This window comes from Homo sapiens, chromosome 15 (assembly GCF_000001405.40).
Source record: "Homo sapiens chromosome 15, GRCh38.p14 Primary Assembly".
NCBI lineage: Eukaryota > Metazoa > Chordata > Mammalia > Primates > Hominidae > Homo > Homo sapiens.
Window position 1 is genome coordinate 69,246,581 of NC_000015.10, and position 18,112 is coordinate 69,264,692.

Genomic DNA, 18,112 nt, shown 5'->3' on the forward strand with positions numbered 1-18,112 from the left:
TGGCACATGCCTCTAATCCCAGCTACTCAGGAGGCTGAGGCAGAAGAATCGCTTGAATCCGGGAGGCAGAGGTTGCAGTGAGCCGAGATCATGCCACTGCACTCCAGCCTGGGCGATACAGTGAGACTCCATCTCAGAAAAAAAAAAAAAAAAAGACATGAAAGTCAAATTGCTTTTTGATCTATGGGCTTCAGAATGAATGTTGTGTTAGCAGGCATGGATACAGCATTAATCTCGTTGTACATCTCCATCAGAGCTCTTGGGTGACCAGCTGCATGTCAATGGGCAGTAACATTTTGAAGGGAATCTTTTTTTCTGAGCAGTAGGTCTCAACAGTGGGCTTCAGATATTCAGTAAACCATGTCGTAAACAGATGTGCTGTCATCCAGGCTTTGTTGTTCCATTTATAGAGTGCAGGAAGAGTAGATTTAGCATAATTCTTAAGGGCTCTAGTATTTTCAGAATTATAAAGGAGCATTGGCCTCAACTTAAAGTCACCAGTTGCATTAGCCCCTAACGAGAGTCAGCTGGTGCTTTGAAGCCAGGCATTGACTTCTCTCTAGCTATGAAAGTCCTAGATGGCATCTTCTTCTAATAGAAGACTGCTTTGTCTACATTGAAAATCTGTTTAGTGTGGCTGCTTTCATCAATGATCTTAGCTAGAGCTTCTGAATAACTTGCTGTAGCTTCTACATCAGCACTTGCTGCTTTACCTTGTACCTGATAAACCAGCCTCTGCTAGCTTCCAACTTTTCTTCTGCAGCTTCCTCACCTCTCTCAGCCTTCATAAAATTGAAGAGGGTTAGGGCTTTGCTGTGGATTATTAGGCTTTGGCTTCAGGGAATATTGTGGCTGGTTTGACCTTAAGACCGCCAGAATTTTCTCCATTATCAGCAATAAGGCTGTTTCACTTTCTTTTCATTCATGTGTTCACTGGAATAGCAATTTTAACTTCCATCAAGAACTTTTCCATTGCTATCACAGCTTGGCTTTTTGGCACAAGAGGTCTAGCTTTTAGCCTATTTTGGCTTTAGACATGCCCTCCTCACTGAGCTTAATCATTTCTAGCTTTTGTTTTAAAGTGAGAGACATGTGGCTCTTCCTTTCACTTGAATAGTTACTGGTCATTGTAGAGTTATTAATTGGCCTAATGTCCATATTGGTGTGTCTCAGAAAATAGCAAGGCCCAAGGAGAAGGTCAGAAACAGGCAATCGGGGAACAGCTGGTCATTGGAGCAGTCAGAAAACACAAAACATTTATCAATAAAGGTTGCCATTTTATATGAGTACAGTTAATAGTACCCCAAAACAATTAAAATAGCAACATTGAAGATCACTGATCACAGATCACCATAACAGATATAATTATGAGAAAATATTAGAAATACTGTGAGAATTCAGTAACATAGAGCATGTCCATATATATACCCGCTACTCAGTTTCCTTGGGATTTTTTTCCTAGAAATACAATCTTATTTGAAGTATTATGAGCACTTGTATCACAGATCATTTCAATTTTGTTACTAAAAAATAAAAGGGACTTGCAAAATTTCCTTCCTGTTTTGCCTTATTGTGAGTAGCTACCAGAGAATTCTACTTGTTTATATTACTGGAAGGATCCTAACAACCAAAAATATTAGGCAGTTCTCCTTTGAGTTACATCTATCACTGGATATTTAACAATTTGACTGTATAATTTAAATCTTGGTCTATTAAGCAGTAAACAGATGGAACATTACTAACAGCAGTAATTAAATTATAAATCTGTTTTAAAATCGGCCAATATACAGCATCACAGTCCGTATTCTGTTATGTCAGTTATGTTCGTTTTTATTTGGATTACAATTTCTGAATACCCAAATATTGGAAAGAAAACAAAGTTGTCTGGTTCAAATGTCTGTTTTTTATCTTTTTAATTATATAGGCCAAGTGCTTGCTTGCTTGCTTGCTTGCTTTCAAGAAAGGAAGGAAAGGAGGGAGCAACGGAGAGGAAAGAATATTTAACAATGTTCATTTATTCAACAAACCGTTAATGAATGTCTACTCTGAGCTAGGCACAGTTTTTTTTTGCCCCCTCACTCTGTCGCCCAGGCTGGAGTGCAATGGCGATCTCAGCTCACGGCAATTCTCCTGCCTCAGCCTCCCAAGTAGCTGGGACAACAGGTGCGCACCACCACGCCCAGCTAATTTTTTGTATTTTTAGTACAGATGGGATTTCACCATGTTGACCAGGCTGGTCTCAAACTCCTGACCTTGTCAAGTGATCCTCCCACCTTGGCCTCCCAAAGTGCTGGGATTACAGGCATGAGCCAAGCTAGGTGCATTTCTAAGTATTGGGGATACAACAGTGGCCAGGAGAAGCAAAACCCCAGCCCTCATGGAATTTGCATTCTAGTGGATTGGGGATGAATAATTTAAATGTATAATATGTCAAATGGTGATAAATGCTATGAAGAAAAATAAAACTGAGTAAGGACCTAGAGAATGATGGGGTGAGAACTGGTATTTTAGATAAGGTGGCCAGGGAAGCCCTTTCTAATACATTGGCATTTAAGCAGTGACCTGAATGAAGTGAGAGAGCCATCCAAATGGATATCTGGGGAAATAGAGTGCTAGGCATGGGGAATGACAAGTGCAAATACCCTGACTTGGGAGCATGCTTAACTGTCAATCTTCAATTCATTCTACCTGGAAGCTTTTCTTAACACCTTAAAAGGTTAAGGTGTTTTATAGCATAGTCTACATAACTTTTTTTTTACAGTTCTTAAATCTTAGCATTATTATTTTTTCTGCCTGCGAATCTGTCCTTTAGAGACATGGATAATGCCTTACCTGCCACATAGTAGCTGCTGAACAAATATTGATCAAAACAATCAGTGAGTTTGATTATTTGTTGAGCAATTACTATTTCATCTACTTACTCAGTATCAATAAATTATTTTTTAATTAAGAGTAAGCATTCTTCTCAATCAAGGAATTATAGGAAACATAAATAGATGTGTAAGTAGATAAGAGAAATAATAAGCAGGGAAACTTTGGCCTACATTATTCGAGGGAAAAAAAGCCAATAACAATGTAAGTGAATATTTAAAAAACCTATTGAAAGGTTGTTCTTTACTGAAATACAACCTTCATATTTTGAAAGCTCATGATGCTATCCATAGTTCCTGATATTTAGTGAATTACTCTAATAGTTACTTGAAGTAACTAGGAAAATAAATCTGAAAAGTAAAGTATCACAGAAAAGATGTTTGAATTGCAAATCACTTTAGAATAGAACAATTTGCTTTCCAAAAAAAACCCTAAGAGTTATGTTTTACTTTCCCTAATTTTTAACTATTTCTACAAAGAAGTTTTTCCACAGTTTCTTTATGATGCTTACTGCATGACATTTTCTGTTTTAGATCTCCAGCGTTATAAGACCTGATTTTTATTGGATTATATTTCTAATGAAATAAATCTTTAGGGTCAGCAGTAGGTGAGGTTTCAAGATTTTTTTTTAATTTATGAGTTTTTCATTTGTTTGTTTTACCTAAAGCATCAATCTATTTTGTAGATGTGGCAAAAGCTTCAAAATAAATAGGAAGCCTCTCACCACTCAAAGTTACCATCATTTATACCTAGCAGAATGTCAGTGCAATCTACTTCTTGAAATTTCAGAGTGTCTGTGTCAGTTTTCTATAATTTGGCAACATTATAATGAAATTACTGAGTTTCTCTTTAGATGAGCCTATTTTTTAGTTAATACTGTATGTCAACACTCAGAGATTTCCTTCTCTTCATCCTCCTTCGATCTCTCTTACCATCCCCGCCCCTCTGAAAAAAACCCGTGCCCATTTGAAAGCTAAATTTTTCTACAAATTTTTAACTGACTTACATTTTTTTCTTTCAATATTTTAACAAAGTTAACCTTCCCCTTCTTAGTTTTTCATTATTTTTTTTTAAGAGACAGGATCTCGCTGTGTTGCCCAGGCTGGAATACAGTGGCTCTTCACAGGCGCAATCCCACTACTGATCATCACACTCCATTTCCAGCCTGGGCTGGTTCGTCCCTCCTTAGGCAACTTGGTGGTTCTCTACTCCCGGGAGGTCATCATACTGATGGCAAACTTAATGTGGACACCCGATCGGCATAGCACCCTATAGCCCAGAACTCCTGGGCTCAAGTGATCCTACCCCAGTCCCAAGTAGCTGGGACTGCAAGCACATGCCATTTTTTATAGTTAAAAAAAAAAAAAAAAAACAGCGTGGTCATGGAAAATTAGAAAATAAAGACCTATATATGCATTGTTTACTTAAAATAAGATAATACTAAATGTGCTGTTCTGTAACCTATATTTTTCAGTTAACAGTCTTCATTTCAGTATCTTTCCATTTTATCAAGTCCATTGTTGAATTTCCCAGTCCAGAACCAAGTTTCACATCTGGTTGTTATGTCCCTAAGTCTCTTAAAAAAACACACACAAAACAGCCCCCTCCTTTTTTATTTTCATATCACTTATTGAGTTGAGGAGACAGGACCAGCTGTCCTGCAGGATGTCTCACCTTCTAGAAGTGTCTGGTTGCTTCCTCCTTTAACTTGTTCCTCTATCCCTTGTATTTCCTGTTAACCAGAGATTAAATTTTATGTCCTGAGAGATCCAAGTGAAACATTTTGGGCTGGAATGTATGGTAAGTGATATATTTTTTATTATGACTTATCAGGAGACAGCTTCTGGATGGGTCACAATTAAGGAGACTAAAGTTGACCACTGAATTAGGGTATGACTATCTGATCTTTTCACTGTCAAGTTTAATCTTTTTCTTCTTTCAACTAGAAAATAACATATTTGGTGTTACTTTGCACAGTATGAATCTCTAGGTCATGGCAAACGTATACCTGCATTTAACACTTGCCTGAATCTGTAATATCATGAGGGATTACATAATGCTAATTTTCTTATTTTTTAAAAAAATTTACTTCTTATTATTAGATAGGCTTTTGCACAACAGAGTATTTTATTTACTAGGGTTTTTGATTTGTTCTGAAATATGGCTGCTCCTACAAAGACAAGTAAATAATTTTTTTCACTCAGTTGCCAATTTTTGTCAGCTTAGAAGATTAGGTAAGTTTTTTGCTGGCTTTCTCCTTTTTAAATATTATTGCAGATTCGTGGATTTTTATTGCTTCGTTGTGTTTCAGTCTACTTCACTCATAATTCTTACAAATTTGACTAATAGGAAAGAGGACCTTTTAGACTGATTCCTGTGTCTTTTTGCCATGATGTTATATATTTATGGAAATGTTTAAACAAAAGTATATAGTGAGTGGTATACTGAACTTCCAATATATCTGTCACTCTCAGTTTTAGCAATTAGCAATAATTTTCTAATTTTATCTGTCTCCTGCTGCTTTTTTGACACCCTTGATTTTTATTTCATTGGTAGTGGAAAGTTTGTTTTCTGGTGTGGCAAGGTGTCCCATCCCTAGACCTGGAATTACTCATTTCTTTAAGAAGCCCTGATTGTCTTTAGTAACGAATGGCATCAGACAATAAAACCTGGACATAAGGATTATTGGAAGTTTTTAAATTTGATTTTTCTTTATTTTCCCATCGTGTGCTTCAACATATTGGTAGCTGTGTTAGTTTGTTCTTGCATTGCTGTAAAGGAATACCTGAGACTGGGTAATTTATTTTTAAAAAAAAAGAGGCTTAAAATTGGCTCACAATTCTGCAGGCTATACAAACATGGTGCCAGCATCCACTCAGCTTCTGGGGAGGCCTCAGGGAGCTTTTACTCATGGCAGAAGGCAAAGCTGGAGCAAGCAGGTCACATGGCCAGGGCAGGAGCCAAGGGAGTGTGGGCAATGCTTTTAAGCAATCAGATCTCACGCAAACTCATTCATCATCAAGGGGATGGCGCTAAGCCATTCAAGAGGGATGCACCCCCATGATCCAAACACCTCCCCCTAGACCCCACCTCCAACACTGAACATTACATTTCAACATGAGATTTGGGTGGGGACAAATGCCCAAACTATATCAGTAGCCTTGTTCCATAAGCAGGGTTGCAGGCATGCGAGTAGTGGAGGAAGGGCACTTCTCAAAGATAGGATAAAAAGCTTTATATTTCTATATTAGTTGGTCAAAATGTAAGGCGTAGCTGACAGATTACTCAGCTGTTGACATGTAAGTGCTTTTAATGAAGGATTTAAAAAAAAAAATAAACACCATTTAGTGTTATCAGTTTGCCCCCACTGCAATATAAGGAAATCCTCAATTTATATGACTTCTTAAGTTTTGTTTGTTACACACTTTGGTTTCTCATAGTAATAATGCAGATGATGAATTATTCTCAGTTAATAGGGTTAAAAATGTATTATTGGGTTTCCACTTCTTAAAATCTGTATTCACCTCCTTTCCCTTCTGATGCCCCAGCAAAATAAAATGTTTAAAAATGAGAAATGAAGAAGCCAGTAACAGTAAATAGGAGGACTACCCAAGGATGATAGTTGAACAGATTTCCAGATCTCTAGTTGAGTACCAGTAGGCCCAACTATACCCTCTTCTCCCCTCCTCATACCTCTTTCACCCCTACACTTGAATACAGATAGCTGGCAAGAATCCCAGGCAAACACTAGGCAGATTTTCTTTACAGAGCATGAGAAAGACGAAGGCTTCTAAAGTGTGTGCTGTGTTCGTGTAACAAAAGAGAAAACACCATCTTCTTTCTGGCATTTGAAAGGTCTGCTGGCTCCCCACCCACTCACCCTGTGGGAACACTGCCAGTCAGCTTATGTCCAGCCCACACAGAGCTCCCTCTTTTTATCCCCTCCAGGGGAACAATCTAGCCAAAATCAGACTATCTTCAAAATAACACAGGAAATCTATGTTGGCTAATGAGTCATTCTCCCTTAAATGTGAATGAGTAACCGAAGATCACCAGGCATGGTGGGAAAAACTAATGGCATGAAAGACTAAATAACCAGGAAAATGGCCAGTGGAAAAAGTAAAACTAATAAGAAAGAACTTTATTTTAAAAAAAGAAGAATAAATCATCTAATATATTCAGAGATCCAAGAAGATACTACATCTATTAAACAAGAATAGGAGGACACAAGTTTTTAGATTGAAAGGGCACACCAAGCACTGAAATAGAGAATCAAACATGGTACTGTGACACATCTCAAAACTGCAGAATTCCTAGGATAAACAAAGATCCCGGAAGAAATCACACACATAGTAACAAGTAACAGACTGAAATCAAACCCCTTATGAATAACTTTTAATGATTTAAGACAGTAAAGTATTGCCTACAACATTTTAGAAAGAAAATAATATGCAACCATGGATTCTACAACCTGCCAAACTATTAATCAAGGGTGAGAGCAGAATACAGTTGTTTTCAGACACTGAAGGGTGCAAAGTTTGCCTTCCATTGGAAGTAAAAGAAATGAATGAATTACACATTCACCATCAACTTCTTGAGAAACGGAAGTTTAGCATTTGATTTTTTTTAATATATCATTGCTGCCAAAAGGGTTGAGGGGAAAATGAGAAGGGGGGATTAAAAACGATAAAATTAGTTGTTGATTCACACCATACAATAAATTACAGAGCTCCTGTGGCAAACGGCAGTTAAACTACTCCCTTTACTCTCAGCAGGCTGAAATGTATCATACATTATATGTATAACTATCCATAATTTCCCATGTTTCCCAATCATCCCAGCAAAAAGTAACCCAGGACTACTTGCATTGCAATCACAACAGGCTCATACACCATATGGCCAGAAGAAGCAACAGCATCACATTTTCCTCCCATCAGGACTGGAATGACATGATCTGACTTAAATTTAAGAGCATCATTCTGACTGCTGTGTTAAGAATAGACTTGAGGGTGGAGTAGTAGGGTAAGCGTAGAAGGAGAGAGACCAGTTTGAATATAACTGCTGTGTTCCAGGTGAAAGATGACAGTGATTCTGACAGGGTAGTAACAATGTAGTTGGTGAAAAGAGGTCAGATTCTGGGTATAATTTGAAGGTAGAACCAACAGAATTTCCTGACTTATGGGATATTGAGTGAATAAGAAAGGGTCAAGATTTTTAGTCTGAGCAGTAGGAAGGGTGGAACAGATTGAGGAAAAGATTGGGAGTTAAGTTTTGGATGTTATTTCAGAAATCTATTTGACCTCCAAATAAAGATATATGTATTGGATATACGTATCTGCAGCTCTGAAGAAAGACCTGGCCTGGCGAGAGAATTTGGGGATAGTCAGCCTTGTATTTAAAGGCATGAGGTTGGGTGAGATCAAAGTGAATAGACTGAATAGAGATAAAGAAGTTCAAAAGACTGGGGCCCTAAGGTACTCTAACATTTAAGAATTAGGGAGATGAAAAGGAAGACTCAAAGAAGAGAAGAACAGCCAGTGGGATTTTAGGAGAACCAAAAGAGAATGGTGCCCTAGAAACCATGGGAAGAAAATGTTTCAAGAAGGAAAGAGCCATTGACTATTTTATGCTGTTAGGAGGTCAAGTAGGATGAGCACTAAAAATTCATTGTTGGATTTAGCAACATGGATGTTGGTGTTTACCTTGAAAAGGTCTACTGTGTTTTTTCAGACAGCTACTAAGGTGTTAGGACATAAATACTTGTACATAAGTAGTTATTTGGCCCTAACTATTTAATAAATGCTACATGTTGAGCATCCCAAGTTCAGAAATCGAAAATACAAAATGCTTCAAAATCAAGAACTTTTTAAGCATCAACGTGATGCTCTAAAGAAATACTCAGTGAAGCGTTTCAGATTTTAGATCTGGGGTGCTGAACTGTTAAGTGTAATGCAGATATTCCCAAATCTGAGAAAAATCCAAAATCCAAAACCCTTCTGGTCCCAAGCATTTTGGGTACAGCATACTCAAACTGTATTAGGTATTTCTTTTGGCCTAGGGGGCATTGTGAAAAATTACTGAGATACCAAGGGAGCCACAAACTAAGAAAGTTTGAACATCTCTGCTTTAGAAGCTTGAGCTAACTAAGGATTTCACCAAAAGGAGGAAGCACCTCTTACCTTTTTTTGTGCTGAAAAGTTTGAGTTTGCAATTTTAAATCTGATCCAAAATTGTCCTAATACAGTTGTTCAACATTAAAAAAAAAAAAAGCAAAGAAAACTTTATCCTATGAAATGCCGGTAGTACATCTTTGCATGATTTTTTTTCTTCTTGCCTCCATAGGTATGGTCTGAATATGCGTTGCTTGGCAGCTCGGGTCAACTATAAGACTTTGATTATTATCTGCGCACTCTTCACTTTGGTCACAGTACTTTTGTGGAATAAGTGTTCCAGTGACAAAGCAATCCAGTTTCCACGGCGTTCGAGTAGTGGCTTCAGAGTGGATGGGTTTGAAAAAAGAGCAGCAGCATCTGAGAGTAACAACTATATGAACCACGTGGCCAAACAACAGTCTGAGGAAGCATTCCCTCAGGAACAGCAGAAAGCACCCCCTGTTGTTGGGGGCTTCAATAGCAATGTGGGAAGTAAGGTGTTAGGGCTCAAATATGAAGAAATTGACTGTCTCATAAATGATGAACACACAATTAAAGGGAGACGAGAGGGGAACGAAGTCTTTCTTCCATTCACTTGGGTTGAGAAATATTTTGATGTTTATGGAAAGGTGGTTCAGTATGATGGCTATGATCGGTTTGAATTCTCTCATAGCTATTCCAAAGTCTATGCACAGAGAGCCCCCTATCACCCCGATGGTGTGTTTATGTCTTTTGAAGGCTACAATGTGGAAGTCCGAGACAGAGTCAAGTGCATAAGTGGGGTTGAAGGTTGGTATCTGTCTGCTTCACTTGCATTTTTCAAGCATGATTGTGTTGAGGAATAAGAAAATGTTGTTAATTATACATCAAGTACATAGCTTACTGTCAAAAGACCTTTCATCACTCTAATTTAGCAGGGAGGAACAGGTTAAGCCTGAACCTAGGGCAACTTTCTAGATGCTATGACTTAAGGGCTGCCATAAGACCAAACCTGGGCAAACAGAATTATTTTATTAACGTAACTCAGAATCTAAAATTCTCACCAGTAAGGTAAAGGCATTGTTTCTCCAGAAGTTTGCGTTAAAATATATAGCTAGAATCCTGTGAGAGATGGGAAAGGGAGAGAGACCATCCAGTGGACCCATCAATGTACCAGTGTGGTCTGGTTACCTAATGAGTCAGGTGTCATCTCTGGAAGGAGGTTTCAAGTCTTCAGAACAAGACAATATGTAGATGCTTTTTCTCTGGACTTATACTGAACTCCTAGTCTATTACATTTTTCATTGTCTTTAAAACCTGGGGCAGTAAGAGTTCCTTGTGGATACAATTAATATGCTTTGGAATTTGCTTTTCAAACCAGAAAGCCAAATTGAATTTGACTTTAAAGTATATCACTTAAACAGAGGAAAGAGCTTAATATGTTTGAGATTTCTTGGTTTGGGTTTTACTTTCCTCATTTTGTTATAAAGTGATTTTAAGATCTTAATATTTTAAAATCTGTATTGAAGTAAGTTTTTAACTAACTAAATATATATTTTTTGCTCTGGAAAGAAGTTTGTGCTCACTTGGTGACCATGTGGATGTTTTCAGACTCCCACAGACCGAAGGATTATAGCCCACTCATGTCTGTGAAGTTAATGGTGTGTTTATTCATCCAGTTGGAAATTGGAATTTACATATCTGATGCAGGAGTTTTTTCCTTTGTTTTTACTACTTAGATAAATTTTTTATAATATCTTTTTCTCTTATTTTGAGACAGAATCTCACTCTGTCACCCAGGCCTGGAGTGCAGTGATACTGTCATGGCTTACTGCAGTCTCGATCTCCCAGGCTCAAGTGATCCTCCCACCTCAGCCTCCCAACTAGCTGGGACTATAGGCATGCTCCACCATGCCCAGCTAATTTTTTAAAATTTATTTTTTGTAAAAACAGTGTCTCACTGTGTTGTCCAGGCTTGTGTGAAACTCCTGGACTCAAGCAGTCCTTCCACCTTAGCCTCCCAAAGTGCTGGAATCACAAACATGAGGCACTGTGCCTGGCCAATATCCTTACCAAATGTTTAGAAGAGAGAAGTGACCAGATTCACCTATACTCTTACCACCTCAATATAATTATTATTATTTTTATATATTCTCTGGAGGCCTTTGTACTTAGACATATGTTTTAGCATAATCGTAATGATGTTTACTATACAGTGATTCAGGAGAGTAATAGAGATTTCAAAGATATTCAGAGTCAAACCTTTTTTTCAGCAGTTTTTTAAATGCATGAAATTAATAGGCGCCTAAATTCTAAAATAAAAAAGTAAAAAGTACCCATAACCACTATTAATATTTTGACTTTTTTTCCCCATTCTTTTTGTTGTTGTAGAAATATATTTTTATTTTATTTTATTTTATTTTTAATTTTTAAGTTCAGGGGTACATGTGCAGTTTTGTTATATAGGTAACTTCATGTCATGGAGATTTGTTTTACAGATTATTTTGTCACCCAGGTATTAAGCCTAGGACCCATCAGTTATTTTTCTGATCCTCGCCCGCCACCTACCCTCTACCCTCCAGAGGCCCCAGTGTGTGTTGTTCCCCTCTATGTGTCCATGCGTTTTCATCATTTAGCTCCCACTTAGAAGTGAGAACATGCAGTATTTGGTTTTCTGTTCCTGCGTTGGTTTGCTAAGGATAATGGCCCCTCGCTCCATCCATATTTCTACAAAGCACGTGATCTCTTTCTTTTTTATGGCTGCATAGTAGAAATGCATCTTTAAAAAAAATTCAGATCATACTGTATGGTCAATTTTTATTCTGATATTTTCTACTTAACATGTTTCAACTATTTCCCCTCACTGAATATTTATTGAACATTTTAATAACTAATATTTGTAGTAAGGACATGCCATGATATATGTAATGTATGAGACCCTTCTCTTTAGTTGTACACTTAGGTCATTTCCAGGTTTTTTATGTTTTTTAATTAATGTTTTATATTTAATTTTTGTGGGTACATAGTAGGTGTATGTATTTATGGGGTGTATTAGATATTTTGATACAGGCATGCAATGTATAATAATCATCACATCAGGGTTAATGGTGTATCCATCACCTCAACCATTTATCCTTTCTTAGTGTTACAAACAATCCAGTAATATTCTTTCAGTTATTTTTAAATATATAATAAATTAAGATCAAGTGAATAAAATCTGGTATTTGGTAGCACAAAGGGTGACTAACTATATTTCCATTTTTTTGCTATTATAAATGTTACAGATTTTCATTGTTAATCTTTATTTGCTATTTTAATTTTATTCTCATTGTAGTGTATTCCTATTCTGAGAATATAATTAACTGCCATGTCAAATAACCTGCCAAACCTTTGTACTGTTTTGCCAGCCATTTTCCAGAAAGGTGGAACTTGCTCATGCTTCCAGCAGCAGAGTATGAGGGTGCCGTTTTCACCCAACTCTTGCCATCATGGACCATTGTTTTTTTGTCTGTTGGTTACAGAGGGATATTATAATTTTCTCTCTTTAACAACTAGTGAGGTCAGATATCTTTTTCTTATGCTTTTTGCCGTATTTTCATGTTCTTTACCCCTTTTTCGAATGTGATAAGTGGAGTTTTTTAAAAATGTATTTGTGTGAACTTATGTAGTAAGGGTAGCAGTACTCATATTTGTTAGAGATGTTTCTTCAATCTGGTTGTCTTTTCATTTTACATATGATTTGTTGGTTTTAGAAGTTTTTAGTTCCATTTATTAAACTTATGGGGTTTTTTGGATCTTTGTACCTCTTCTTTTTATGCTTAGAAAGGCACTTGCCACACCACATTATGATCAGCTTTTCACTTTTAGTTTCTCTGATAGTTTTATGGTTTCATTTTTTTACGTTTAACTTTTTTAGTTCTGCTAAATTGATTTATATTTTGGCAAATGGTACAAGGTCACAGCCTAATTTTAAACCTTTTTCCCCAATATGTATTGAATCATCTCTTTTCCCACTGAGTTTGATGGAATATTCGTCATTATACTAAATTCTTAGGAGTACTAGAATGTGTTTCTGGACTGCTACTTGGTTTCATTGATCAGTCCCAGTTCTTGTGCCAGTTGCACATTATTGTAGTCACCACTCATGTTTAATGAAGTTGTATAAACCACCTTTTATTAATTGATAATAATTCTATTTGAATTACAGAGGAGATCCCCCTCTTGGAGGAAAGGTACAAATGTTAAAAAGCTTATCTGTAGCCTACCTAATTCCGTAAACATTGTTTTGAATCTACAACAAAACACATAAAATTTTGTAGATTCCCAGTCTCTGCTGTGCTCATCAGATTCTTATTAATTTTAGAACTACAGATAGTAGTTTATCTCTCAATACATACGTGATTCAACCATACAACATTATGTAAATGTAGGATTTGTAGCTCCTAAGTAGTAAATTACTAAGAAAAACACTAATACCAAACATTTAAAAGTTGTACTTAGAACTTTACATAAGGTAATCCATTAATGAATTATTTCAAGAATCTATGGTAAAATATACAAACTAAATTCATGTTTTAAAAAACACTTCTTAAGAATTACATTTTAACAGGAAAGATATGAAAAAGAATTTCAAGCTGTGTTTATATTTTAAATTGCCAAGTCACAACTGGTTTTTTTTTTTTTTTTTTTTTTTTTGAGACAGAGTCTTGCTCCATCATCCAGGCTGGAGGGCAGTGGCGCCATCTCGGCTCACTGCAACCCCTGCCTCCTGGGTTCAAGTGATTCTCCTGTCTCAGCCTCCCAAATAGCTGGGATTACAGGTACCTGCCACCACCCCCAGCTAGCTTTTTGTATGTTAGTAGAGACGGGGTTTCACCGTGTTGCCCAGGCTGGTCTCAAACTCCTGAGCTCAGGCAGTCCACCCACCTTGGCCTCCCAAAGTGCTAGGATTACAGGCATGAGCCACCGTGCCTGGCCACAACTGGCTTTTTAAGCAAATACATTAACCATCAGATGACATACCTAATTAGTAGACCACACTTTGACATTGGAGGGAAAGATGAGTATGTAGTAACTTGACTGTTAAGTATAAATGTTTAAGAAAATTTCAGGATTAATATTGAAAATAGAACTGTGGTGACATTAGCTATACGCATCTAAATTGTGCAGAATTTGAATGTAGGAAACAGGATTATGAAACATGACATCTGTAGCCATGAGCAAAAGTAACACACACAAAAAGCCAGTCCTTAAAAGGTAATTTATAGCGTTGCACTATTTGTTAACAAATAATGAATGAGAGTGAAAGAATACTTAATTTTTGTTTTTCACATCTGGTTAATTTGGTACTAGATCTGGTCATTATGAGAGCAGTATTATAAGGAAGCCCACAACTTCCTGATAACCCTGTAAGATCCCCCAGAAGTAAATCAGTGAGGAATGGTATTAGGAATAGGCTTGTAATGTCTGGATATGATTATTCATTTTGTTTCTCTATTTTATAGGTGTGCCATTATCTACACAATGGGGACCTCAAGGCTATTTCTATCCAATCCAGATTGCACAGTATGGATTAAGTCATTACAGCAAGAATCTAACTGAGAAACCTCCTCACATAGAGGTATATGAAACAGCAGAAGACAGAGACAAAAACAAGCCTAATGACTGGACTGTGCCAAAGGGCTGCTTTATGGCGAATGTGGCTGATAAGTCTAGATTCACCAATGTCAAACAGTTTATTGCACCAGGTAAGTTATGTATTATATGTGCCTGCTAATTTTATGTTGATTTATGGGACCCTGATAGTCCCTTAAAATTTTAATATGGTTTAAAAAAACACATAAGCAGACCCTTTATATTACATATATAAAGTAACAAATGGTGTCACCCCAATGAAATCTCTAAAAAAGATACAGCTAAAAAGTCAAGGTTATAAAAAGGAATATTTACTATGTAAAGAGCCAAGCCATAGATTGAATGGTAAGGTCCAGGTTACTGCACAATGTGTACCTGCCTCCAGGGGTCTATATCTGATAGGAATGAAGTTCCTCCATTTAATATTTCAGTACAGTATAGTTTAATTTTTAAACTTTTGCAGTAAATAGAATGGTTTTAAGGAGACAGCCATCTTTTCCTTTGCCTATTTTTTGCCAATAGCTTTTAATTTTTTCAGGATAATAGAGCATTACCAAAGAGGCCTGTTTCCCATATTGGATTTTGTTAATGTAGTAGATTATCTCAAACTTCATGTAAAGTCATTTTCATTAATAAAATAATTAACAAAATCAAATTAACTTTATGCAACATTTCCCCTTTTACTAAGACAGTCTCATTAATTAGAATGTAATGCATTTTCCTGCACTAATCAATATCAATGAGAATTAATGAGTCCATTACTTAAGAAGACAATGAAATAATTTTAGTTAGCACCTCAGGTTTAATTCTCTATGGGGGAATGTTGTCAAGTACAGAACTTGTTCCCCCTCCCACCAGTCTTGCAGTTGGTAAATAAAAAGAGAGGAAAGGTTATAAGACCTCTTCTGTATTCTCTCCTTGTTCTTCATTGATGACTGTGTAATTTACAGACCCTGAAAGCCACAATACAAACCTACTCATTCTAGATAGCCTTAAGTAATGAATTTATGAGTACTGAATGCAGTGCAAATAATAGATGACCTTTAATTTTTATTCTGTCACTAGAACTCCTTTTCTCCCATGGCATTCTGTGATATTCTGGTACACAGAGCATCTTTGCTTATTGTAAACAACAGGTTTGGCTGAGTGAGAAAGTACAACTAAATTTTTAAGAATATTTAGCTTGTGATACCTAAGAGGTTATTGCAACAGGAAATGATTAGACTATGCAAAAGAACTTTTGGGTGCACTCAAGAAACTTATTTTTGCACTAGTTAATAATGGTTGTCTGGATTAGGGTGGAATCAGCAGCCCTCACCTTGATCTCCTTGAGTGTTTGGAAGGTTTTCTAGGACAGTCTTTTGAACTCTGTCCTATTTAGAGCAACAGATTTCATTGTGCACTTTTGGGTGCTTTGAGTAATACAAAAGATAGGTCCCCACATCTTAAATGAGGGATCCTTAGCCCCTCATTCTGTAGCCAGTAGCTGGAGATAAAACTACTTCCTAAGATGGTTTTAAGCATATAGAGGAGAGAACTCTGTCTCTAACAGCCACTCTGCGAGTGGGACACAGCTGTTCTAAGTTGGAACTCCCTGTTGGTGGAAGCGTGCTAGCTGGGAATGGAATTCTGTGTGTGCATGTACAGGTTGAGTATCCCTTATCTGAAATGCTTGGGACTAGAAGTGTTTCAGATTTTGGAATATTTACATATACATAAATATCCTGGGGATGGGACTCAAGTCTAAACACAAAATTCTTTTATATTTCATATGCTATACACATAGCCCGAGGGTAACATATTATAATATTTTTAATAATATATGCGACCCATCATGAGGGAAGATCTGGAATTTTCCACTTGTGGCATCATGTTAGCACTCAAAAAGTTTTGGATTTTGGAGCATTTCAGATTTCGGATTTTTGAACTAAGGATGCTGCCTCTCCAGTTGCATACTATAAGAGTATGAGAGAAGGTGAGTTGGAGTTACATGGGAGTTATTGCTCAGAACAGAGCAGGAGAAGGGAATCAAAGAGGTGAGACTATTTTATTGAAGCATAGGTATGAGAAATGAGGCTTTTTAGAGGATATAGACCTCATGGGAGATAAATTCAGAGAATCACCATTAAGAGGAAATTGGAACTTGTACATAAAAGCATAGGCTCAAGTGAGGTGAGACCCTGGAGGACCACAAGCTGAATGCTGTTGGTCTTTTTTTTTTTCTTTCTTGGCCTTCGATTTTTTTTTCTGAAAGGGGATAAAATCAAATATGAGTGAAGAGGCATATAATATGGGTCTGCAGCATATTTTTGTTGTTTTATTTGTCGAATAATGTTTTATTCCTTTTTCTAATTTTAAAATTGAATGAATTGAAACTTTAGGCCTGTCCTACTCTATTAAATTAAATTAGCTTTCCCTTTCCCCAAGCACTCTTTTCATTTGATTTCCATGACCTCACTTTCTCCTATTTCTGTAGCCATTCTTTCTCAGGCTTCTTGGGAGCTTCTCTTCTTCTGCCTGATTCTTCTTTCTCTTGGTGTTTCTTAAGATTTTGAGTAGGGCCTCTTCTCATGCTGCATAGTAAATCTGTTGATTAAACGAATGGATTGATTAACAGTTTTTGTTGGATGTGAAACATTGATTTAAAGGCTTTTTTTCCCAGCTTTATTGAGGTATAACTGGCAAATGTATACAATGTGATGCTTTGATATACATATATGTTGTGAAATGACTGCCATAATTAAATTAGTTAACACATCCATCACCTCATAGTTACCTTTCTTTGTATGGTGTTGGTGGTGGTGAGAACATTTAAGAGATATTTTAGCACATTTCAGGCATACAATACAGTATTATAAGCTGTAGTCACCATGCTGTACATCAGACCCCTAGATCTTACTCATCTTATATCTGAAGTTTGTACCCTTTGATCAACATCTCCCCATTTTTCCCACCCCCCCAGCCCGACAACCACCATTCTACTGTTTCTGTGAGTTCAGTTGTTTGGAGGTCCACATATAAGTGAGATCATACAGTATCTTTCTCTGACTTGTCACACGTAGCATAATTCCTTCAAGGTTCGTCTATGTTGTCACAAACGGCAGGATTTCCTTCTTTGTTATGGCTAATATTCTATTCTATAGGTATGTGTGTGTGTATACACACATGTGTGTGCACGTGCACACACACACACACATATTTACACCATATTTTCTTTATCTATACTAGACACTTAGGTTGCTCCCATGCCTTGGCTATTGTGAATAATGCTGCAAAGAACATGGGAGTGCAGGTATCTTTTTGAGGTTATTGATTTCATTTCCTTGGGTTGTATACCAGGAAGTGGGATTGCTGGATCATATGGTAGTTCTATTTTTAATTTTTTGAGGAACCTCCATACTGTTTCCTAATGACTATGCCAATTTACATTCCCACCCAAAGTGCGCAAGGGTTTCCCTTTCTCCATATCCTCACCA

The 18,112-nt window shown here is 36.9% G+C and overlaps 1 protein-coding gene and 1 pseudogene across 11 annotated transcripts in view; one reads left to right on the forward strand and one right to left on the reverse strand.

Annotated features, from left to right (window-relative positions):
• The window catches only part of GLCE (glucuronic acid epimerase), a 111,573-nt gene that overhangs the window by 85,946 nt on the left and 7,515 nt on the right, over positions 1 to 18,112 (forward strand). For 10 of the 11 annotated variants that reach the window (NM_001324093.2, NM_001324094.2, XM_047432377.1 and 7 more), the window contains 2 exons: positions 9,214 to 9,812; positions 14,507 to 14,749. In NM_001324093.2, coding sequence (NP_001311022.1) covers positions 9,227 to 9,812; positions 14,507 to 14,749 — 829 coding nt within the window. In that variant the 5' untranslated portion in view covers positions 9,214 to 9,226. The remainder of the gene's footprint in view (positions 1 to 9,213; positions 9,813 to 14,506; positions 14,750 to 18,112) is intronic. The other variant, NM_001324092.2, reaches the window with a different exon arrangement.
• Positions 3,945 to 4,215, reverse strand: RN7SL438P (RNA, 7SL, cytoplasmic 438, pseudogene; annotated as a pseudogene).